The 25,450-nt window shown below is 37.1% G+C and overlaps 1 pseudogene across 1 annotated transcript in view, besides 2 other annotated features; it reads right to left on the minus strand.

The window, feature by feature from the left end:
• OFCC1 (orofacial cleft 1 candidate 1 (pseudogene)) overlaps positions 1 to 25,450 on the minus strand; it is a 506,631-nt pseudogene that overhangs the window by 102,525 nt on the left and 378,656 nt on the right. The gene's annotated exons all lie outside the window — the stretch shown is intronic.
• Positions 2,952 to 3,468: an enhancer, noted in NCBI's record as "H3K27ac hESC enhancer chr6:9810687-9811203 (GRCh37/hg19 assembly coordinates)". NCBI's record gives its function as "activates a minimal SCP1, AML or CMV promoter by ChIP-STARR-seq in primed H9 embryonic stem cells {active_cell/tissue: H9 hESC(primed)}" and the evidence as "EXISTENCE:reporter gene assay evidence [ECO:0000049][PMID:30033119]".
• Positions 3,469 to 3,984: an enhancer, noted in NCBI's record as "H3K27ac hESC enhancer chr6:9811204-9811719 (GRCh37/hg19 assembly coordinates)". NCBI's record gives its function as "activates a minimal SCP1, AML or CMV promoter by ChIP-STARR-seq in primed H9 embryonic stem cells {active_cell/tissue: H9 hESC(primed)}" and the evidence as "EXISTENCE:reporter gene assay evidence [ECO:0000049][PMID:30033119]".

A 25,450-nucleotide genomic window follows, 5' to 3' on the forward strand; every position in this document is an offset into this window, starting at 1 on the left:
AAAGCAAGACTAATAACGAAAAAAAATGATGGCTAGTATTAATAATAAGCATTAGGAATGACAAGAAAAATATATAATACAATGATAGAGTTAGTGGTATTTCAAAATTATAGTAATAGTTTTGTGTATTTTCTTATAGATACATAAAAGTATCGACTAATACACAAAAAACATCGGTTTCCTTCGGAGAGAAGAACTAGGTTGATGGGGAGCAGCAGGGGAAGGCAGGTTTTCTTTTGAACAATGTGGATATATCACCTACTCAATAAAACTTTAACAAAATGAAATAAATTTAAAATTTAAAAGATAATGTACTACGACCAAGTTAACCCAATTAGTTTTTAATGAATTAAACATAGAATGATGAAATAATAAGTAACAATCAAAAATTGAACCAGAAAATAAATGTCCCCTACCACTCACCTAAAAACAACAACAACAACAACAACAAAGCCCCAGAACTCTTACAGCTCCATGAGGCAAAAAAATGGCCCAAAGAAAAAGTGGATAAAGTATAGGAACAGGCAATTCCCACAGGATAATACCCAAATGGTCAACAGAAATACAGACAGTTTCAAAAATGCTCTAATATACTTGTATCCAGAAAAATCCTAGTTAAAATAAAGAGATATTATTTCATGGCAATTGAATTGGCAAAACTAATCTGACATTAACAAGGGTTGATAGAATGTGGGCCAAAGCAATTCTCTTACACAACAGTTAGGAGGGTAAATTGACATACTACTAGGGGTGGCAGTGTCACTAGTCTCTACAGTTAGAAAGTGTGTGCATGTGATTCAGCCATTCCTTTTGGGGTTGTGTAGACTCTAGTGAAATTCACACCCATGTGCACAAGCAGAGCATGTTCAAGACTGGTCATTGTGGCTTTGTTTGCAGTAGAGTATAACTAGTAACAACAACAATAACAAACATAAATAAATTTTGTTATAATCATGCAAAGGAATCCAATATAACAACAAAATTAGTAAATTAGAAATAGATGACAGACAGATATAGTTAGATAAATATCAAAGACAACACTGAGAGAAAATAAAAGTTACAGAAGCAGATGTGAAGTATGATATATTTATACAAAGTTTAAAAACATAGAAAAGATATACAATGTTAGTGATTCCATATATATGTAGAAAATGTTTTAAAATATACATGGAAATGATCAATAACAAATCTGAGAAGGCTGGGAATGGAATTAGGGAGCAGTTCACAGAGAGCATTAATCACGGGTAAATGTTATTTTTTGAAAGAAAAGATGGGAAGTAATACGGCAAAATAGTAAAAATCAGCAAAGCTGGGTACTGGGTACTGGTGTTATGTTATTTTCTGTATAAGATGTTTAAAATATTTAATAATTTCAAAAATAAAAGTAAATTACTTATTACAAGGCTTCTTATCAGTTGTAGCATTAGTACAATGCTGGTAGTACTATTACATGCTACCGTTATTATAATTAATACCAATCCATCAACTGCTATTTTAACTGATACGAATATTTACTGCTAGAGGATACACTCTGTGAAAGAAGCTTGTGAATCTTTTGGTAAATGCAACAATCCTTTTATAAGAAGGATAATAATCTCTAATAGCATATATATTCTGTAAGTTGGAATTTTTGTAGATTGAATATTTCCAAAAACTTTATTTGCTTATTTATTGCCTGATTAAACCAGTCTTTGAAAACAAAGGCCAATAAAATAAATTATATTAATTGACAACATTTTTCTGAAAATATTTTATCTTTCATAGCCAGTTTTTGGTTACCAGTCTTGTGAGCATGCAAGAAAATTTGAAATCTAAAAATAAGAACCAACAGAAGTCAAATGATGCCCCCTTAACAACAACAACAACAAAACTTTCAAAGCAATAAGGTCATGGAGAAAGACTTGTTTCAATGATGTTATTTTATATTTACAAATGTAATAGACAATGTGATATAAAAACTAATATTCTAACATATTTTAAAAGAATGATAGTTTCTTATATTCATAATATAATTTATGTAGCACAACTTGGAATACTAGCAATAGAATGCTGGGAAAAAAATAAGTCAACCAACCCTGAGAAGAGTGTGCTGCGGATTTAACGTCTGCCTCATCCATTGGTGCACGAGGATTCTTCTGTGTTTCCTTCTCTGAAAGGCCAGCTGTATTATCCACTCCTGATTCTGCTTTCTCTCCTTTAGCCATTAGACAAACTGGAAATTCAGGGGAAAGTCGAGTATAGCTTTCATGATTTTTTTGACCATCAAAATGCAAAGGAAGTTTAATGACCTATTAGGAGATCAATCTGTTATCTAAATTGTTGAAACTATTACATAGTTTTCCTCTTAAAAAAAGAGACAATTTGAAAAAGCTAAAATATCAATAATAAATTCAGTTTTCCAAACATTATATACTTTTGTTTGGTTGCATTACAAAGAATGCAGGTTTTTTGTATTAACAAATTACACAATTGCTTCAGATAGTGCTATTTGCTCTCTATATATTAGTTTCTTCTTTGTTTCAATTTATAATTTTTAAAATTTATTCTTCCATATAACACTATCTAACATTCATACTAGGAGGAAATTAGCAAATATTCATTCACTATTTACTATCTCCAAGAAATATTATTTTAAGTTCAAAAGAAATGACAAGATGGTAGATCTAGCAGTGAATGAGTGCTCATTATACAATTTTTTCAACTTTTCTCTATGTTTAAAATTTTAATAGTAAAAGTGCTTGGAGACAGTAATGACACAAGAAATGAAATATTCAGGAAAGTGAGGAATTGACAGACAAAGTTTCCTGGGAAAGAGTGACAGGCTGTCCTTCTGGCATCATTTTCCCTGTTGCATCCTTACACACATGCTGTGGGGGGCCTCAGAGCTGTTGGCCAACCTCCTCTGGGATGCTCAGGGTTATTAGTCCGAGTACTATCCCTAATGACACCGTGAGAGAATACGTGAGGTCATGGCTAAGCCACGTGCCCTGGCTCTGCCAGCCCCTCGTTGACAATGGCTGTTTCTCCACACTGACTGATCCAGGAGACAAATGTTCAGGATTCACCTGGATTGACTTGTTTCCTTTTTGTCTTCTAACAAGGCATTGCAAAAAAACACTTTTCTGTTCCGTCATCTGTCATCTGCATTACCTCTCTTTTGTCTTCCCAATTCCAACTTATTCTTTTTCCGAGTAAATACAGCATTAACTTGTTCAAAAATGTTTGCATCTGAGAAAACTTACATTGGGGGGGGAGGAGCCAAGATGGCCGAATAGGAACAGCTCCAGTCTACAGCTCCCAGCGTGAGCGATGCAGAAGACTGGTGATTTCTGCATTTCCATCTGAGGTACCGGGTTCATCTCACTAGGGAGTGCCAGACAGTGGGCCCAGGCCAGTGGGTGCGCACACTGTGCGCGAGCCGAAGCAGAGCGAGGCATTGCCTCACTTGGGAAGCGCAAGGGGTCAGGGAGTTCCCTTTCCCAGTCAAAGAAAGGGGTGACGGACGCACCTGGAAAATCGGGTCACTCCCACCGGAATACTGCGCTTTTCCGACGGGCTTAAAAAACGGCGCACCACGAGATTATATCCGGCCCCTGGCTCGCAGGGTCCTACGCCCACGGAGTCTCGCTGGTTGCTAGCACGGCAGTCTGAGATCAAACTGCAAGGCGGCAGCGAGGCTGGGGGAGGGGCGCCCGCCATTGCCCAGGCTTACTTAGGTAAACAAAGCAGCCGGGAAGCTCGAACTGGGTGGAGCCCACCACAGCTCAAGGAGGCCTGCCTGCCTCTGTAGGCTCCACCTCTGGGGCAGGGCACAGACAAACAAAAAGACAGCAGTAACCTCTGCAGACTTCAATGTCCCTGTCTGACAGCTTTGAAGAGAGCAGTGGTTCTCCCAGCACACAGCTGGAGATCTGAGAACCGGCAGACTGCCTCCTCAAGTGGGTCCCTGACCCCTGACCCCCGAGCAGCCTAACTGGGAGGCACCCCCCAGCAGGGGCACACAGACACCTCACACGGCAGGGTATTCCAACAGACCTGCAGCTGAGGGTCCTGTCTGTTAGAAGGAAAACTAACAAACAGAAAGGACATCCACACCAAAAACCTATCTGTACATCACCATCATCAAGACCAAAAGTAGATAAAACCACAAAGATGGGGAAAAAACAGAACAGAAAAACTGGAAACTCTAAAACGCAGAGCGCCTCTCCTCCTCCAAAGGAACGCAGTTCCTCACCAGCAATGGAACAAAGCTGGATGGAGAATGACTTTGACGAGCTGAGAGAAGAAGGCTTCAGACGATCAAATTACTCTGAGCTACGGGAGGACATTCAAACCAAAGGCAAAGAAGTTGAAAACTTTGAAAAAAATTTAGAAGAATGTATAACTAGAATAACCAATACAGAGAAGTGCTTAAAGGAGCTGATGGAGCTGAAAACCAAGGCTCGAGAACTACGTGAAGAATGCAGAAACCTCAGGAGCCGATGTGATCAACTGGAAGAAAGGGTATCAGCGATGGAAGATGAAATGAATGAAATGAAGCGAGAAGGGAAGTTTAGAGAAAAAAGAACAAAAAGAAATGAGCAAAGCCTCCAAGAAATATGGGACTATGTGAAAAGACCAAATCTACGTCTGATTGGTGTACCTGAAAGTGATGGGGAGAATGGAACCAAGTTGGAAAACACGCTGCAGGATATTATCCAGGAGAACTTCCCCAATCTAGCAAGGCAGGCCAACGTTCAGATTCAGGAAATACAGAGAACGCCACAAAGATACTCCTCGAGAAGAGCAATTCCAAGACACATAATTGTCAGATTCACCAAAGTTGAAATGAAGGAAAAAATGTTAAGGGCAGCCAGAGAGAAAGGTCGGGTTACCCTCAAAGGAAAGCCCATCAGACTAACAGCAGATTTCTCGGCAGAAACCCTACAAGCCAGAAGAGAGTGGGGGCCAATATTCACCATTCTTAAAGAAAAGAATTTTCAACCCAGAATTTCATATCCAGCCAAACTAAGCTTCATAAGTGAAGGAGAAATAAAATACTTTACAGACAAACAAATGCTAAGAGATTTTGTCACCACCAGGCCTGCCCTAAAAGAGCTCCTGAAGGAAGCACTAAACATGGAAAGGAACAACTGGTACCAGCCGCTGCAAAATCATGCCAAAATGGAAAGACAATCAAGACTAGGAAGAAACTGCATCAACTAACGAGCAAAATCACCAGCTAACATCATAATGACAGGATCAAATTCACACATAACAATATTAACTTTAAATGTCAATGGACTAAATGCTCCAATTAAAAGACACAGACTGGCAAGTTGGATAAAAAGTCAAGACCCATCAGTGTGCTGTATTCAGGAAACCCAGCTCATGTGCCAAGACACACATAGGCTCAAAATAAAAGGATGGAGGAAGATCTACCAAGCAAATGGAAAACAAAAAAAGGCAGGGGTTGCAATCCTAGTCTCTGATAAAACAGACTTTAAACCAACAAAGATCAAAAGAGACAAAGAAGGCCATTACATAATGGTAAAGGGATCAATTCAACAAGAAGAGCTAACTATCCTAAATATATATGCACCCAATACAGGAGCACCCAGATTCATAAAGCAAGTCCTGAGTGACCTACAAAGAGACTTAGACTCCCACACATTAATAATGGGAGACTTTAACACCCCACTGTCAACATTAGACAGATCAACGAGACAGAAAGTCAACAAGGATACCCAGGAATTGAACTCAGCTCTGCACCAAGCAGACCTAATAGACATCTACAGAACTCTCCACCCCAAATCAACAGAATATACATTTTTTTCAGCACCACACCACACCTATTCCAAAATTGACCACATAGTTGGAAGTAAAGCTCTCCTCAGCAAATGTAAAAGAACAGAAATTATAACAAACTATCTATCAGACCACAGTGCAATCAAACTAGAACTCAGGATTAAGAATCTCACTCAAAACCGCTCAACTACATGGAAACTGAACAACCTGCTCCTGAATGACTACTGGGTACATAACGAAATGAAGGCAGAAATAAAGATGTTCTTTGAAACCAACGAGAACAAAGACACAACATACCAGAGTCTCTGGGATGCATTCAAAGCAGTGTGTAGAGGGAAATTTATAGCACTAAATGCCCACAAGAGAAAGCAGGAAAGATCCAAAATTGACACCCTAACATCACAATTAATAGAAATAGAAAAGCAAGAGCAAACACATTCAAAAGCTAGCAGAAGGCAAGAAATAACTAAAATCAGAGCAGAACTGAAGGAAATACAGACACAAAGAACCCTTCAAAAAATTAATGAATCCAGGAGCTGGTTTTTTTTGAAAGGATCAACAAAATTGATAGACTGCTAGCAAGACTAATAAAGAAAAAAAGAGAGAAGAATCAGATAGATGCAATAAAAAATGATAAAGGGGATATCACCACCGATCCCACAGAAATACAAACTACCATCAGAGAATACTACAAACACCTCTACGCAAATAAACTAGAAAATCTAGAAGAAATGGATAAATTCCTTGACACATACACTCTCTCAAGACTAAACCAGGAAGAAGTTGAATCTCTGAAGAGACCAATAACAGGATCTGAAATTGTGGTAATAATCAATAGCTTACCAACCAAAAAGAGTCCAGGACCAGATGGATTCACAGCCGAATTCTACCAGAGTTACAAGGAGGAACTGGTACCATTCCTTCTGAAACTATTCCAATCAATAGAAAAAGAGGGAATCCTCCCTAACTCATTTTATGAGGCCAGCATCATTCTGATACCAAAGCCAGGCAGAGACACAATAAAAAAAGAGAATTTTAGACCAATATACTTGATGAATATTGATGCAAAAATCCTCAATAAAATACTAGCAAACCGAATCCAGCAGCACATCAAAAAGCTTATCCACCATGATCAAGTGGGCTTCATCCCTGGGATGCAAGGCTGGTTCAATATACGCAAATCAATAAATGTAATCCAGCATATAAACAGAGCCAAAGACAAAAACCACATGATTATCTCAATAGATGCAGAAAAAGCCTTTGACAAAATTCAACAACCCTTCATGCTAAAAACTCTCAATAAATTAGGTATTGATGGGACGTATTTCAAAATAATAAGAGCTATCTATGACAAACCCACAGCCAATATCATACTGAATGGGCAAAAACTGGAAGCATTCCCTTTGAAAACGGGCACAAGACAGGGATGCCCTCTCTCACCACTCCTATTCAACATAGTGTTGCAAGTTCTGGCCAGGGCAATCAGGCAGGAGAAGGAAATAAAGGGCATTCAATTAGGAAAAGAGGAAGTCAAATTGTCCCTGTTTGCAGACGACATGATTGTTTATCTAGAAAACCCCATTGTCTCAGCCCAAAATCTCCTTAAGCTGATAAGCAACTTCAGCAAAGTCGCAGGATACAAAATCAATGTACAAAAATCACAAGCATTCTTATACACCAACAACAGACAAACAGAGAGCCAAATCATGAGTGAACTCCCATTCACAATTGCTTCAAAGAGAATAAAATACCTAGGAATCCAACTTACAAGGGATGTGAAGGACCTCTTCAAGGAGAACTACAAACCACTGCTCAAGGAAATAAAAGAGGATACAAACAAATGGAAGAACATTCCATGCTCATGGGTAGGAAGAATCAATATCGTGAAAATGGCCGTACTGCCCAAAATAATTTATAGATTCAATGCCATCTTCATCAAGCTACCAATGACTTTCTTCACAGAATTGGAAAAAACTACTTTAAAGTTCATATGGAACCAAAAAAGAGCCCACATCGCCAAGTCAATCCTAAGCCAAAAGAACAAAGCTGGAGGCATCACACTACCTGACTTCAAACTATACTACAAGGCTACAGTAACCAAAACAGCATGGTACTGGTACCAAAACAGAGATATAGATCAATGGAACAGAACAGAGCCCTCAGAAACAACACCGCATATCTACAACTATCTGATCTTTGACAAAGTTGAGAAAAACAAGCAATGGGGAAAGGATTCCCTATTTAATAAATGGTGCTGGGAAAACTGGCTAGCCATATGTAGAAAGCTGAAACTGGATCCCTTCCTTACACCTTATACAAAAATCAATTCAAGATGGATTAAAGACTTAAACGTTAGACCTTATACCATAAAAACCCTAGAAGAAAACCTAGGCATTACCATTCAGGACATAGGCATGGGCAAGGACTTCATGTCCAAAACACCAAAAGCAATGGCAACAAAAGACAAAATTGACAAATGGGATCTCATTAAACTAAAGAGCTTCTGCACAGCAAAAGAAACTACCATCAGAGTGAACAGGCAACCTACAGAATGGGAGAAAATTTTCGCAACCTACTCATCTGACAAAGGGCTAATATCCAGAATCTACAATGAACTCAAACAAATTTACAAGAAAAAAACAACCCCATCAAAAAGTGGGCGAAGGATATGAACAGACACTTCTCAAAAGAAGACATTTATGCAGCCAAAAAACACGTGAAAAAATGCTCATCATCACTGGCCATCAGAGAAATGCAAATCAAAACCACAGTGAGATACCATCTCACACCAGTTAGAATGGCAATCATTAAAAAGTCAGGAAACAACAGGTGCTGGAGAGGATGTGGAGAAATAGGAACACTTTTACACTGTTGGTGGGACTGTAAACTAGTTCAACCATTGTGGAAGTCAGTGTGGCGATTCCTCAGGGATCTAGAACTAGAAATACCATTTGACCCAGCCATCCCATTACTGGGTATATACCCAAAGGACTATAAATCATGCTGCTATAAAGACCCATGCACACGTATGTTTATTGCGGCATTATTCACGATAGCAAAACTTGGAACCAACCCAAATGTCCAACAATGACAGACTGGATTAAGAAAATGTGGCACATATACACCATGGAATACTATGCAGCCACAAAAAATGATGAGTTCATGTCCTTTGTAGGGACATGGGTGAAATTGGAAATCATCATTCTCAGTAAACTATGGCAAGAACAAAAAACCAGACACCGCATATTCTCACTCATAGGTGGGAATTGAACAATGAGATCACATGGACACAGGAAGGGGAACATCACACTCTGGGGACTGTTGTGGGGTGTGGGGAGGGGGGAGGGATAGCACTGGGAGATATACCTAATGCTAGATGACGAGTTAGTGGGTGCAGCGCACCAGCATGGCACATGTATACATATGTAACTAACCTGCACAATGTGCACATGTACCCTAAAACTTAAAGTATAATAATAATAAAAAAAAGAAAACTTACATTGGAAAAATCCACATATTTTAGAATTTCACATAAAAGGAAACTGAGTTTTCCAGAACAGAAGCTTTTTGTTTTTGTCTTCATGGGCAAGAAGGATCTATATGCCTACTTATTCTGCCTACAATCAGAAAATCATGCATCTTGCATGTTACTATTCTAATTAATAAGACTCGCTTCCCCATGAAATTTTCAGAAGGAGAAAATTATTTTTATTGTCTATCAAATAAGAATGTTAGTGGACAATTACATCCATCTCTAATGGATAATGCCAGCTGGGCTCTGCAAATAAATTATAGTATTCCTTATTTTTTCTCTACAAAGTATTTTTAATAGAAAGTCAGAAAAAAACGAGGCAAATTTTAGTAATATGTTCAAATTCAAGTAGATTTTGGTCATCAAAATATTTTAATGCTGCTAAAAAATACCCACTTTTCTTGAGCTTGCAAGTTTTAAACACTACTTCTAATTTAACTTCAAATATAAACTGTCTTCATAATGAATAACAGTACTTCATAAATTATCTTTTATAAAACAAAGCTCGTTCTTACTTTCCATCCCATAATTTGTAGAACACTGAATTTTAGGAAACAGTTAGTGAAAAAGTCAGTTAATAATTATAGATGTCTTCCACATTAGCTAGACCAAGATTTACCTTTTTTTTTTTTTCGAGCCAGAGTTTTGCTCTTGTTGCCCAAGCTGGAGGAGTGCAATGGCGCGATATTGGCTCACCGCAACCTCCACCTCCCAGGTTCAAGCGATTCTCCTGCCTCAGCCTCCTGAGTAGCTGGGATTACAGGCACCTGCCACCACGCCCAGCTAATTATTGTATTTTTAGTAGAGACAAGGTTTCACCATGTTGGCCAGGCTGGTCTCGAACTTCTGACCTCAGGTGATCCACCCACCTCAGCCTCCCAAAGTGCTGAGATTACAGGCGTGAGCCACCACACCCAGCCCAAACTTTACTTTCTTATGGCTATATTTATTTTGACTCTTGGTATGGCATTCAGGTCACCAATTTTTAAAACATTTTCTTATGGATTTTCTACAGTTATCTTCAACCTTTAGATAAATTTTCAATATTTTTTACATTCATTTATAATAGTCTTCCTCTTTAAGCTTATTTATATCAGCGTTTCTGATTCTTAGAAGTTTTTAAAAAGTTCTGATGCCTGACACCCCACCACAAAACAACTAAATTAAAGTATCTGAGACTAGAACCCAGGCAACAGTATTTCTAAAACTTCCCACAGAATTCTACTGTGCAATCAGATTTATCTTAGGATGGCACTATTTCCAGAATGAATAGGCAGGTACATATTCACATAAACGTTATTTTATTAATAGCATACCTACACTGCCCCAACACGATATTTCAGCAAAACATTATAATGGAATTAAATAAGAAGAAAAAATGCCAGGTAATTCTACTCAAAGTAAATAGGAAACAGGGAGACTGTTACTGATTTTAAGGACGAAATTACATGTGCTTCCTGGGAACACCCAATTTAATAGTTCTATCAGTTAGGTAAGTAGATAGATAGGTAGACAGACAGACAGATACATTACATAGATATAAAGAAAACTTCAAATATGAAGGGGAAGAAGAACAATTTATGGCATTATATGACACAAACAACCTGGAAAAACATCATCGGGAAGAATAAATTTGGGTACAAAGAACGCACTACAAATGTGCTGGAATCCTTATCCTTTTTGCATCCCTAGAGGAGGCAATGCCCAACGCACAATAGAAGCTCAGTAAACATTTTTTTTTTTTTTTTTGAGATAGGATCTTGCTCTGTTGCTCAGGCTGGAGTGCAGTGGCGCGATCTCAGCTCACTGCAACCTCCACCTCCTGGGTTCAAGTGATTCTCCTGCCTCAGCCTTTCAAGTAGCTGAGATTACAGGTGCGTGCCACCAAGCCCGGCTAGTTTTTGTATTTTTTTAGTAGAGATGGATTTCACCATGTTGGCCAGGCTGGTCTTGAATTCCTGGCATCAAGTGATCCGCCTTGATAAGGAAACTTACCAGAGCTCCATCCTCATGTTGATGAGATGAAGCTACACACTCCACCCCAGCAGTGACAGATTGTGAACTGAGACTTGGGTGGCAGCTCTGGTCCATTCACAACATAGAAGATTTTATTAAGTGATCTTTAAATTTCCCACTAATTCTATAATTTTATTCCTTGTTTCTAAATATCTATTTAATCTGCATTATCAGAAATCAGCATTAAGATGTAATAACTTTTACCATTCTATGCTACTTTACTTATTAAATTTTCCAATGGCATGAAAGGAAGCTGAAGGCTAGAAAGAAGCAGCTTTAGAAAACATTTTAATTCCTTGCCACTTAAAAAATCATATTGCAAACCTGAAAATAGAGATTGCACAGCCAGTGGTCCAAGTCCAGGCAAATCAAATCTTCAATTTTCCTAAAGTTACTGAGTTTCTGGTCATAATGTCCTCATAGAAGGGGACACTTAAATTTTCCCTCCACTGTATCAAAGTTGTTATTACACAAAGGGAACACTGCTCAGCCCACAGCCCGGTCCAGGCAAGTGTATGTTCCACGAAGAAGAAAGAGTTCAAACAAGAAACCATGCCAGGGCTCACATTTTTCCTTTGAGGGAGCACCTATAAAAACATTAAGAAAAGAGAAGATTGGGACACTTGTGGTTTTAGAAACACGTTACATTCAGTGATGCTTATAGACAATTTAGAATTAAGTAAAACGTTGGTCTATACTCCTGTGGTTTGCCCTTGAAAACTCACTATTGGATGTATTTACATAAACAATCCTTCCAGCCCCAGGTAATTGAGCAACCATGAAAATGTGACCTACACAAATTTGACCCTGCTGGTTAAAGATTCTAAACTTTATACGTTTTAGAAATCAAGTTTGCAACATGTTCACTCTCATAGTAGTCTGTGTTTTCATTCCTCTTTGATCGAGCTGGCACCTCTACTGTATAACTATTTCTATCTTCCATAATAGTCATTGTTTTGAATGCCTGCCATTCATTTTTGTGTCATTCACTTACCCAGCACAACTGCATTGCACAGAACAAATGCTTTTTAAAAAGTGGTTAAACAAATTATCGCAAATTATCCTACCCATGATGATAACTGGAATTACTATTCCAAAGTCCACCTCTGGAAGAAAAAATAGAGTCCTATTTAATTTTGTGATTTTTCTGTTTATGTCAGTTGACACTATAATGCACACGCTGTATAAGCAAGTTGTCAGTGCTAAACAAATAGAACTGAGTGTAAAGATGGGTGAAATAATCAGAATGACCAAGCCGCTGATCAAGTCCCCAGATGTAGAGATGGAGCTTATTCCATGACCTTAAAACAAAATTTAGAGAAATGCAAGACATAAATAATCTTTTTAACAAAATGGGTTACAGCCTTGGATTTCTTTTTAGAATTTTGTGTGGATAATTACAAGTAGACAAAGATTGGGACTTAGACTATTTTTAAACAATATATTTAACCAAAAGTGTGTAGGTATATTGTATATGATTTTTATAAATATTCCAAGACTTAGTTTAGGTATAAAATGAAACAGAGGCATCTGTTGAAAAATGCCATAACCCTGTGGCAGCTGCTATTAAATCATTAAGAGGATCAGGTTTTATTTAAACCAGATTTATCTTTCTTTTTACGATAGCCTATGAGAAAGCTAAAAACATTAGGCACAAATTACTGACAAAAGAGAACCTTATTCAAGTTGTACTTTTCATTTGGCTAGTTGGCTGTGAGTAACCTTTGTGATACGAAAATAAAAGTTAAATCAGGAGAAGGAGAAGAAATGGAGTCAGAATCCTGTTTTGGGCCATCATTTAAAGATCAAGTTGAACTGATGCTATTGACAATAATTTCATCTATTTTTAGCCCTGCATTTAGAAGTGAAAACTAGAGCCCCTGTTACACTAAACTCCTATGTATTCAGCTATACATTCAAAGTAGATGGAATTAAGAATTTGTCCAGTACTGACCCAATTCTATCATTAATTTTGTTGCAGTCTTAGGAAGTCACTTCTCTTTTTTCATATGTAAGTTTCCATGCACTTGAGTTCTCTCATCAATAAAAAACAAAGCTATAAATATCTTCTTCTCAAAGTTAATGTAATTATGCACTTAGTAAATACAAAAATTCTCAGAAAATATGAAATGTGCCTTTTTAAAATTTATTTCTTCTAGGACCATCCCAACCACTTCTAAGATGACTTAGTAATAGTTCATTTTAATAAACAGAAAAATAACATAGTCAAGGTTAAAATACACCTGTAAACATGCAAAACAGCAGCATCTTTTTTTTTTTTGAGCGTATGAGAAATAGTTCAAGGCTACCAAGCACAATAATTAACACCATGCAGTCCTGTGTCAGCTCAAGAGGAACTTCATCTCAACGCGTTCTACAAGATGGAGGAGTCATACACAACTACCCTGACAGCCCCTAAAATAGTTAAGCGTGTGAACCAGACCAAACCTAGTCACCGATACTGAGAAGGAAAATAAAAGCCATAAATTATTAAATAAAGGAAATGACTTTATCTGATAACAGTTGTAGTTATTCGTTTGGTGCCTTTCCTTTGCTGCAGATTGTAGCAGAAATCTTCTGCCCTGCAATGTGTAGCCTGTAATTCATTCCTTTCCTCTTTGGCAAGAAAGGCCACTAAATTTCAGTGTACTTTGCAGAAGATCCTTTTCACAAATCTGAGTACTTCCATAGCTATCCTATGAAGTGACATTCCCATAAGGATTTTTCAGTAGCTTTGTAGCTAAATACCATATGTTAAGAAAAATATATGTGTTGGTCTCCCCCAACTATCAATGCCCTCCATCATGACAGTCCTGGTAGGTGGCGATCATAAGAGCCTCAGAGTCCCTTTATTTAATGAGTGCCATGAAGAACACCCCTGTGATGCTGCTCTTCTCCCTCCTCCCACCCTCCACCCTCAAGTACTGGGCTGAATACCTAAGTGATGAAATAATCTGTACAACAAACCCCCACAACGTGAGTTTACCTATGTAACAGATCTTCACATGAACCCCAAACCTAAAATAAAAGTTAAAAGAGAAGAGTACCCCTTTGGAAGGAAGAGCTGCTACAAAGCTGAATTCCACCGCATAGCATAAGGGTGATGCATTTGATCTTCCACATCGCGAAAGGTACATGTGAAAGGTGAATGGAGAAAAAACGGAATCCAAGAAGCAAATGGGAATTTTGAAGTCTGAATGAAGGATTGGAAGAGAAAGCAAAATTCCTTACACTTTAAAAATGTAAAGGATACACTTTTAAATTACTTTTTGGTATATTTTTAAATTAAAACAATCCGGAAAGGACTAGAGTAAATGATGCAAACATTATAAACATGCATATTCACGAACATTGTTCATTTTTCTGGACTTTCTGATTTTTTGTAATGATTATTATCTTTACAGAAAAGAAGTATATTAAGTGATTTCGAAATCAGAGAGCCTTCAAGGTCCTGCTTCTGATTATGATGGAGACGATCAAAAGTAACCAACACTTCCATCATAAAAAGGAAAAATAATTATATTTTTAACCCATTGGGAGACTGAGGACACAGAAATTTAGGTGAGACTAAATCTCACAGAGGGATAAATGCTTCGTATATGAACTAGGATAGAGGCAGCTTTAATGCCAGGAAACAGGTGAGGAAGCAGAACAGTCACTGGGTAGACTACTTTGCAGGGGAAAGAGAAACTGGCTGAACTTTTAACAATCATGGGCTCTATGGAATATTGAAAACATACAAGCTTCAGACAAAGAGCAAGTTCTCACTATTCACCAATTCTCAACCTTGGGACTTTTAACAAGTGCTCAGCAGCATGTGGGCAATTGAGTCTAGATAGGGAGCAAAAAGAGATTTTCAGTGGCACAGAAATCCCGGGACAGTGCTGGAGAGCAGAGCGGAATGTCAGTTACATGGTGCATGGATAAGCAAGCCCAGATGAAAGGAGGGACCTTTTACAGCTTAAAGCTTTTGAAACTGGTAGTAAATTAAAACTAACTAAAGCTATAAACCCAACCCCAACTTAGCTCAATTCCTGATTTGATCAGAGAGATCAGCCCTTGTGGAGGAGAAATATTTTCCACTCCAGTCTCTGTAATTGGCTTATATACAATATCTGGCATATAATACACAACTGTGAGACATTCATAGAAGGAGGCAAATGTGATGCATGAACAAAAGAAAACCAATCAATGAAACTGACCCACAAATGGCCAGATGTTGGAATTAACTAAGATCATAAACAATCATTATAAATAGGACCCAAAATTAGAGGAAAAGATAGAAATAGCTGGTAAAAGTTTTCAATAGCTAAGAAGAGAACTTTAAAAATGTTTAGAACAGAAATCTAAAGTATTTGAAATAATAAAATTATTAAATGGGCATAACAGCAGAAATGGACACAACAGAAAAAGGACAGGTGAACAGAGGTCAATAGAAATTATTCCAACTGAGGCATAAAGTCAAAAAGAATAAAAAAGTAAAATACGCTACAGCATGAAAGACTTGTGGGGCAATAATAAACAGTCTAGCGCACATACAGTTGGAATCCTAAAATGAGAAGAGAAAGATGATAGTTCAGGAAAAAATATTTGAAGAGATAACGGCTGAGAATTTTCCAAAATTGATGAAAGACATCAATCTACACAACCAGAAGCTCAGAGAATCTTTAACAGAAGAAATACAAAGGAAATACCACCCAAGCATATCATAATGAAACTGATTGAAAATCAAAGATAAGGAGAAATCATAAAGACTCATCAATGATCTCTAACAAAAAACTCATTAATGGCTGTCAAAGGAACACACTTAGGCAAGTATCCATATTTCTTTATCATGAAATTCTGAATTTAATATAAAATGTTATAAATCATGTGGCAACATCTAACTTTCACTTCTTTGCCCTGCTTCTTTCCTCTGGTCACATAAAGTTACTTTTATTCCTGGCACTGCACAAAAGGTCTCCAGAAACTTGGTTTATTGTAAGCTCTACTTTTGGTTGCTTTTGCCTAACTGACATCATATATTTACCATACAAATTGTAATTCCTTAGCATCATATTCAGGACTCTAATGCAGTATCATAGCAATCTAAACTTCTAATGTTGTCTCCTCTTAAACACATACTTAAATACATATTAACATGTGTAATACTTATCATATTAAATATTGTCAAAATTATTTTCTCAAATGCCTGTATACACACACACACACACACACACACACACAGACAGACAGACACACACACAGAGAGAGAGAGAGAGAGAGAGAGAGAGAGAGAGACAGAATTATTTTCTCATGAAAGCCTATTCATCAGGAAATTCTTCTTCCTCCCCCAAGGTGTTTTGCTCATTATGATCAAGGAATCTTGTCTTCAGTTTGGACAAGACCTTTGAGGTTATCATTTCTAATCCACAGGTTCTCAAGCAAATGTACAGGCAGAGACACTGATAGGATCCAGACACAGGCCCAAGGACGGTGTGTCAGACAAGGAGAATGGGAACTAAACTCAAGGATATCTTCCAAATCTGATATTCTATGATAGTCAACACAGCAAATCAGTATACTTAATGTGCATTAGAAATAACAAAATTTTCTCTTTGAGGCAGACAATTCTGAATACCTGAGTGGGAATTGAAGCCACAGAATAGAGTCATCTAGGTTATCCCCTGAAAGTTTCATAAAACCATTACTGTTTTTTCTATTCTCTCAGTCCAGAAAAATAAATAGGTAAATCAGCTCTAATCTCCAGTCTTTCTGCTATAGGATAAGAAAAAGTAGCTATTCTTAGAAACCTATCTTGGCCTAGGGATCAAGAACACAGGGTAGTAACAACTACAACTGTCACTGCTTCTTAACGGAAGAGAGAGATTCTTACTTCCTATACCATGGGAAAACCAGCATTCTCATGTCAAATTTAGTAGTTCCAGCTTCCTGTTTTAGGAAAATTATTTTTTGGGTTCCTTAATTTTAAAAATTGGTGTAATATCAGCAGTTAACATTCATGTCCTAAGTGCAAGACACTTTTTAAAAGCACTTTATCCTTATAAACTCAATAGCCACCTAATCCTATAAAGTAGATTCTATAGACTCAATTTTACAAATAACACAACTGAGGGAAGGCCCAAGGTTATACAAAACAGATGTGGAGGGTAGAGCTTGGATCTGATTTTAGGCAATCTGCACCACAGCCAGTCACGCTAAGCTTCCTGAATGTAGGAGGGGCCAACTAGGGACAACCCACCTCGGATTCATGGTGAGAGACCTCAAGGTCATTCTGCTCTATCCTATTTACCGCTCTTCAGGATTCCTACAAACTGGGAAGCTGGGGCTCCTCTTCCAGATATTTCTCTGTATCTAGCCAGTTCTCTCTCTCCTAAATTGCTTGATTTGAGTTCTGTTAACCAAAACAGACATATTGCCTATCAAGAAAAAGCATTTTTACTCCAATAAAATCCTACTATCAGGGATTCTTAAAGAATAAGTCTTTCTAAAGGGCTAAGTTTACCAGTAGCTTACAAATGAATAATTCTGAATAAAAATTCTCCTTAAATGAAGGGCACAATTCCATGATCTCGCAAACCTAAAGTCCCTGAATCTAATTTTACAATTTCTCAACAACGAATTTAATTATTTGAGAAGCACCAACAATCATACTGTGATGTTTTCAAGACCCTAAACTCTCAGTCTCAGAAATTTAGTTTGTAAAAGAATTACCCATGAGTGATTATTGAAAGCGTAGACTTCCCAGACCTCACGCTTACCTTGAATCAGTGAGTCTGGTGTGGGGCTTGGTACTCTGAATTTTAACAAGAATGTGAGGTAATCGTGAATCAGATGGTCCTTCAGCCCACACTTTCCTGAGAATCACCACCCAGTGTGGACACAAAGATAAGCAAGCCAGGTTTGTGAATCCTTGATCATATGTTGGATCCTCTACTGCTTACGACAACTACATTTCTGCCTAAAATCTAACTGAGTCATACCTGAATAATTACTGGTTAAGCAATATGACCTTTCCACCATTTTCAATCAAACATGACTAAAATCAAGAGAAAATATATGGTATGTCATCTCATTATATTGCAATTCCATTACCTGACCTCAACCTCAATATGTCATAACTCATCTCTTCACATGCTACTCAGATGTTCAACTACGAATATTTCACTCTAGAGAGATGGAAAAAATCTAATTGAATATTTTAATTTAGAAAGTTCAGTTCTGGGATTCTCCTCTCTCTCACTTTTTTTTTTTGACTGTGAAAACAAAAAGTCAAATTTTCTTTTTAGTTTCTCCTTGTTAGGCAAAAGATAGATCTTTCCTTTCATTGTCCCTGAGAGTTGAACACATTGGGGAAAAATTGGGCACAGCCCATTACTTTTACAAACTCCAGTGAGTGAGCCTCAATGCACAAAAAGATGGCATTTCTGAACATCTGCAGCCTGATTAGATCAAAGACCAACAAATTAACCACAAATGGCTTTACAAGGAGCATGGAAATATATCATTTGGAAAGGAGAAAACTTTTGGCAATAATTGCTCATCAACGTTTTCCCTTTGGGCAGCCCACATTGCACCAAAGATATCTAGCAATGAAGTTAATGCCTGTGCAGCATTTTATATCTTACAAAGCTCTTATATGCACGTTATCACATTTGATCTGCACATCAACCTTGTAACGTTGTCGACATTAGCCCATTTTACAGGTGATTGAAGAAAATGATTTAGGAAAGTAATGACTTGCTCATGTTTCTCCAGCTACTGAATTGAGTTGACTATCTCAAAACCCCCTATCTCTGACTTTAGTGTTTCCCTTCAATCATTCATGCACATTTATTAAATCTCTATTTTGCATTTAGACACCACTTTTGGCACTGAGGATAAAAATAATTGAGTGAGACAAAAAGCTTTCTACTCTCACTGAGTATAGTCTGATAGGAAAGAGAATACACAATAAACAAATATATGAGACCTCATCAGTAGTGATAAATGTTTAGCCTGTCACAATTGATACTGAAATAATGAAAATAAATAGCAATGGACTAGAAAATGACTGGAGGAGGGGGCTATTCTGTTAAGAAACTCTTGCCTAAGGAAGCAACCCTTACCCTGAGAACTGCCATGTCAAGGTGTGAGAGAAAACCCTACTAAGCAAGAAGCAGTAATGAATTCAGTGGCCCTGCAGCAAGAAATGAGCTCAGTGTGTTCAGAAAATGACGGTGAGGCTGAACTAAAATACACAAGCAAAAAACTAGAATGCAATGAAAGTAGATAATGGGATAGAAGCCAGATCATATACTCTTTGAAGGCCCAGGTAAGGCATTTTGGATCTTATTATAGATGCAGTGAAGATCTAAATGCAATGGAAAATCTTGAGCAGAGGCTGGATATGACCTGATTTGCAGTTTGCTAAATTGACCTTTATTGGTCCCAGAGTTTAGTGATGATTTTGTTTGAACATAAATCTGTTTTTTGCCACCACCATAAGCTTTGAGAGCCTCATCAGTTCAAAGTCATTGACTATTGCTTTATATATGTACGAGGCAGATGACGGGAAAAGATAGCCAGGCCCATCCTTTGCAATTAACAGGCAGTGTGACCTTGGAAAAATTCTTTGCCCTACTCAGTCCTTCGTGACTTCACTCAGCGTTCATAGGAGAATTAATGCCTTAAAAGTAATTGTAAAGCATTTTGTATAGATGTCGAAATATTAAAGCATATTCCCTCTGAATGTGAGTGAGTTCAAATATAGAAGCAAGTTCCTCCTCTTTAGAGAATTCAAAATGATTTGATTGTTGAATTGCATGCCAAGTGAACAAGAACTACTATTTTGTAACTAGGGCATTCTTAACTCTGAATACATTGGATGTGAACAGATGTAGAGAACAGACACAAAGGACAAAGATGGATTTATGGCATTATAAAATTTAAAATGTGAATCTGCATAAAACGCCAAAAATGTTTTAAAGTAAAAAAAAAAATTCAACTAAAAGGTAGTCAATGGTTGTTTCTTTTACAACCTCAATGTGACTCTGAGTCTTAGAATTGTTTATTTTGAAAATATTTATTAAGACAGATGCCTTTCTAGTTGCTGATGATACAGAAGTTAACAAAACACCAAAATACCTACTGTCAGGAATCTTACATTCTGGTGCTGCCAAGTATTCTTAAGATTGAATGACCACCTGTCAATGTCATGCAATGTGACAGCCTCTTTTCTGAATGTTAATTTACTACATAATACAGAGCCTATCCTTTGAGAGGCAGAAAGCAGAGACTGGAAAGAGAGAGAAGGTTGGCTTTAGACGTAGAAACAAATCTGATAGAAATACAAAGAAAAAGGATAGAAATTGGTGGGTAATTTGCAGATATGAAAAACTAATATATCAGTGATTGCTGCTTCCTTTAGGGCATGTTGTGAACCTTGATGTTTGGACTGGGGAATCACTCACATGTGGACTTAAGTTCAGCTTCAAACATCTGAGCAAGTTCTCATCTCTAAAACCTCAGTTTTTCTCAACTGCAAAATGGGTTTAACAATGAATTTGGTTGTGTGATGTTAGCATTGATAGTATAGGTTAAGTGCATAGTGATGTAATTGGCACACTACAGACACTCAGTAAATGGTACTCTCCCACTCCTCCTAGAGAATAAGTGATACAGTGATTTTCTGTATCCATTGCCTTAAAACCTCTCACATCACCCAGAAGCAAGTAATGTAGACAAAAGTAGCGTCACATTTAGTGTAAACTGAGTTTTCTCAAAGGAGAAAATTAAGAAAGGATTGTCTGAGACTTTTTAAAGAAATGTTTTGAAAGACTGTAGAAAGTCAACATACAGAGGAAGGCAGAGAACATTGTACATGAAGGACTATTGTTATAAAGATAAAAATAACTATAGCTGCCAGTTATTTCCTACATGCAATCTACTATGCTAAAGAGCTGATACATCATATTATTTAATGCTCATAATACCCCTATGAATTAGATATTAGTTTCCCATTTCACAAATGAGAAAACGGAGGCCAGGGATATTTTAAATTATTTTCCTGAAGTATTGATTGCTGGTAAGTAGCAGAACCAGGATTCCAACTCTGCTCAGCCTCACTCTAAAGATGTGTTCTTCATTACTACACTTTGGGTCAAGTTCTCATTTGTTTTCGTGGGGACAAGGGGCAAGAGAGTAGGGTGTCCCTTTGCTTGACTGGAGAGGCACATGTACAGTAGCAGTTGGAAGCAAGTTGGGGGGTTGAGTTGGGAGAGGCCATGGCTGGAAGTAGGATGCCCCATGACTGCCCATGTCATTGAGGAAGGGCCACTGGCCATCAAGAGTCTCACAAGTCCGAGATCCCCTTAACCAGCAGAAGTGACCCTTTTAAGAACTAACACAAAGGGACTTCCTCCAACTGATATAATGAAAAACTTTCTAAAGCTGCACAATATAATATTGTGCACAATATACTCCAGAGCTCTCCATTATTAATGGTAATAACCAATAATCAATAAAAGCAATCATGTGCCTGTCTAGTTTTCCTAAGACTGTTCCTTCCTATGAGTTATTAAAATCATTTCAATTCTTAGATATTAAATGTCACACAGAAAATAACCTCTTGCAAAATGTTGGGTTCATCATATTTTAAGAATTAATACTTTAGGTCATTTTAATCAGTTTCTGATATATGCGGTTTTCAGGAAGCACCTCAGGGAAGAACATGGTGGCCATGACTAATAATGACAGGAATATGAACTATATTCTTCATATACATATCAGACTTGGAGCATTACTGAAGTACTTGACCATCTTAAGTATTTAGGAAGCTTTAAATAAAAAATAAATTTGCCTATTTCACTGAAATTGAGCATCCTTTTTTCGGGCATAAAACTTCAAACTTATTAATTTTATGGCTATATTTTAAAGTGAGTGCCAGTCCCAGCTTGATGACTATATGGTAAGTGTCTTAAAATTTCAAGAAAAGGCACTAAATTTTTCACAGTGTTTGTGTTTCATTCTCAGTGTAATAAAAATATGCCACCCTTTTAATAATGAATAATAGATTCTCAGTTTGATTTACATGCATGGATTAAATGTCATGTTTGAAAAGTTGCTATTTTATTCATATTGGATTCCCTCCAGTAAAACAAAAATGGTACCCATCTACTACTGTAATAATGACACCTTGCCACACTGATATATACATATTAACTGGCTGGTATGCTTTTTAAAAATTCTATAGATCCAAGAAATAGTCTAACAGCACAGGAAGTTTCAGTAAGATTTTCTCTGAGGTACTTACGTGTACCCTACAATTACCCAAAACCTCCATTAATGTGGCTAAATGAAAGGAACAGGGGAGCCAGGCACCCCTCCTATCACAGATTAAGCTCATTTCAGTGATGCCAGATTCATATGTTGATTTCTAAAAGGTTGAAGTATTTTGTGGCTCCTCCTTTCTTACCAGAAAATAAAGAACAATTTATTGTCACCAGTTTTTCATAAGCCCCTCCTATATTTGTATGAAAGGGCTGCCATAACAAAGTACTATACACTGGGTGCCTTGGCTACAAAAATCTGTGTTCTCAAAATTCTAGAAACTAGAATTCCAAGCTCAAGTTGTTGGCAAGGCTGGTTTCTCCTGAGGACTCTGTCCTTGGCTTGCCGATGGCCATCTTGTTCCTGTCTCCTCACACAGGCTTCCCGCTGTGTGCATCTGTGTCCTAATCTCCTCTTCTTCTACGGGCACCATTCATATTGGATTAGGGCAAAGAAAAGCAAACTTTTCCTTTCTACCTGGGTCTAAAAACTTTACTGGTTTTAGAAAGGAAGGATGTAAGATATCAAAGTATAAATATTGTTCATTCACAGCAGCTCATATATCCTTTCAAACAATATAATCACGGACATGATATAGACAGGAAGAATAACGACATTCTTTAGTTAACCAAAATTTCATTGAAGGTGTATATTTGAGTTTTGTTTATGGTTTTTTAAAGCTGGTTTAAGTTAAACATTATTTTAGTCTTTCAGTATGTCAGGCACTGAGCTGAATTATAACATTTACTCTGACCTAGTACCCTACTGGTGGTGACATCATAAGATTAAGGAGATGGAGCTTATTGTGATGACTATTTTGCAGTTGAAATAGGGGAGGCACAGGCAGATTGAGAAACTGCTGTAACTCACATTGCTAAGTTCGTTTTAGAGCCAGAATTCTAGTCAGGTTATAAAACACACACTGAATCACCATTCTGCCTTATCTTGGCCTACGGTGTTTAGTCCTTTCATTTAAATATACAAAAATAAACTCCTATGATAGCATTCCCAAAAGATTTTATTAGTAATTAAATTGATTTTATTCTCTTTGTCCAAAGAAAAAGCCTCATCTGATCACAAATAATTAAACAACAGAACTTCTTGAAAGTTAGGGACTAATAAACGTCCATATTCTGTCATAAGGAAGCCTGGGTGGCCACATTCTGTTCTCTGAGATCTCTGTTCCAGTAACTTCTTTGCTATGGCGTGTGCTTTAATACCATCCATATGATGGCATCTGTTTACTTCTTCCACAAGGAGTCCTCAAGATTGCATAATTTAGTGTAAGCAAAATCACTTTTTGCCTTTAAACTAGCAGTCATTAAATTTCATCACTCACACCCTGACATGTGATCCAAAAAAACAGATGTACTTATCAAATAAGATGGGGTTAAGTACCATCAAAATTAAATATTTCTTTTCCTTTGGCTGACATAGGCACTCGATCCAAGACATGATTTTATTTTCTTTGTGGTGTGGGATAATGTGAAAAATGAAATCTGTAACCCTATATTGAAGGAAATCATAGTCTTAATGGAACCACTAAAGAAATTATTCCAGAATTATATATCCTTCCAGAAATAACAACCCTGTAATGTCAGCAAATTTGGAGTCAGCCTGGGTTACCTACTGCATACAGCAGGCTCTGGTCATGTTCATTAAATCTGCCTGAGGCTTAGTCAAACTTGAGTACATGACCTTTAAGAATTTTAAAAAATTCATTAATCAATGTTCTTTGCCTGAATTTTGCTGTTTTTGCTTCTTTAACCTATTATTTGTATCATTGTTTTAGGTTGGCCAATCCTCACACCCATTGAAAATGAGAACTGCAAGCATAACAGTTCTAGCTGATAATTAACAGAAGGTTCTTTCAGCTCAGATACCATTGTCAAAGTTCAATAATGATATTGCAAAATGTCACCAAAAAGCATAATAATGTGAGATAATCAGTTATAAGAAAATAATCATCACAGTTCTTAATTTGTATCTGACTTTACATTTTAAAAAATGATTTAACACATTTCTCTCTCAATCTTCTGTACTGGTCTAAAAATTCTGTATTTATCCACATTAATGGATAAGTAACCAAATACAATTGAAGCCAGAGTAAGATCTTTCACCAAACTCTCAAAGGATCTGTGTAATTTTCTCATAACAATATTTTCCTATAGTACTATTTTTATAGCTATTTATCTTGCAAATTGTAAGCAAGACAGATTCTCACATGTATTTGAATGGTTTAAAACTATGGTTTCCAAACTGTGGCATATTTGTCTTGTGAAAACTAAAGATGCCGTAGCCACAACCTTTTGACTTAACTTTGAGTTTTCATTGAGTCAATTAGTTGAATAAATAATCATTTAATTATGCAAATTATCTGATCATTTTTTCTTCCATTTGTTATTCAAGGTCTCTTAATTGCCTTATATTTATTAAAATAGAATAGAAAAGGCACATATTTTATATTCCTTTGTAAAATTACAAAACATTTCAAATTCAGAAATTAAAAAAAATACAAAGGTGTTATTCATTCCTGCCTTTTTCCTTGTAATTGAAAGACACCCTTTGTAAGTTCTTTCAGCATTCCATTGAGGGTATACTTGTTATGTGTCGGATGGTGTGCCTCAGAAGAAGACAGGTGGAATACCTAACCGCCAGTACCTCAGAATGCGACCTCTTTGGGAGACAGAACCTCTTAGGATTTAACCAAGTTGAGATGAGGTCATTGGGGTGGAATCTAACCCAATATAACTGGTGTCCATATAAAAAAGGGAAATTTGAACACAGAGACAGAAAAGCACAGAG

Source organism: Homo sapiens, chromosome 6, assembly GCF_000001405.40.
Source record: "Homo sapiens chromosome 6, GRCh38.p14 Primary Assembly".
NCBI classification, from domain to species: Eukaryota; Metazoa; Chordata; class Mammalia; order Primates; family Hominidae; genus Homo; species Homo sapiens.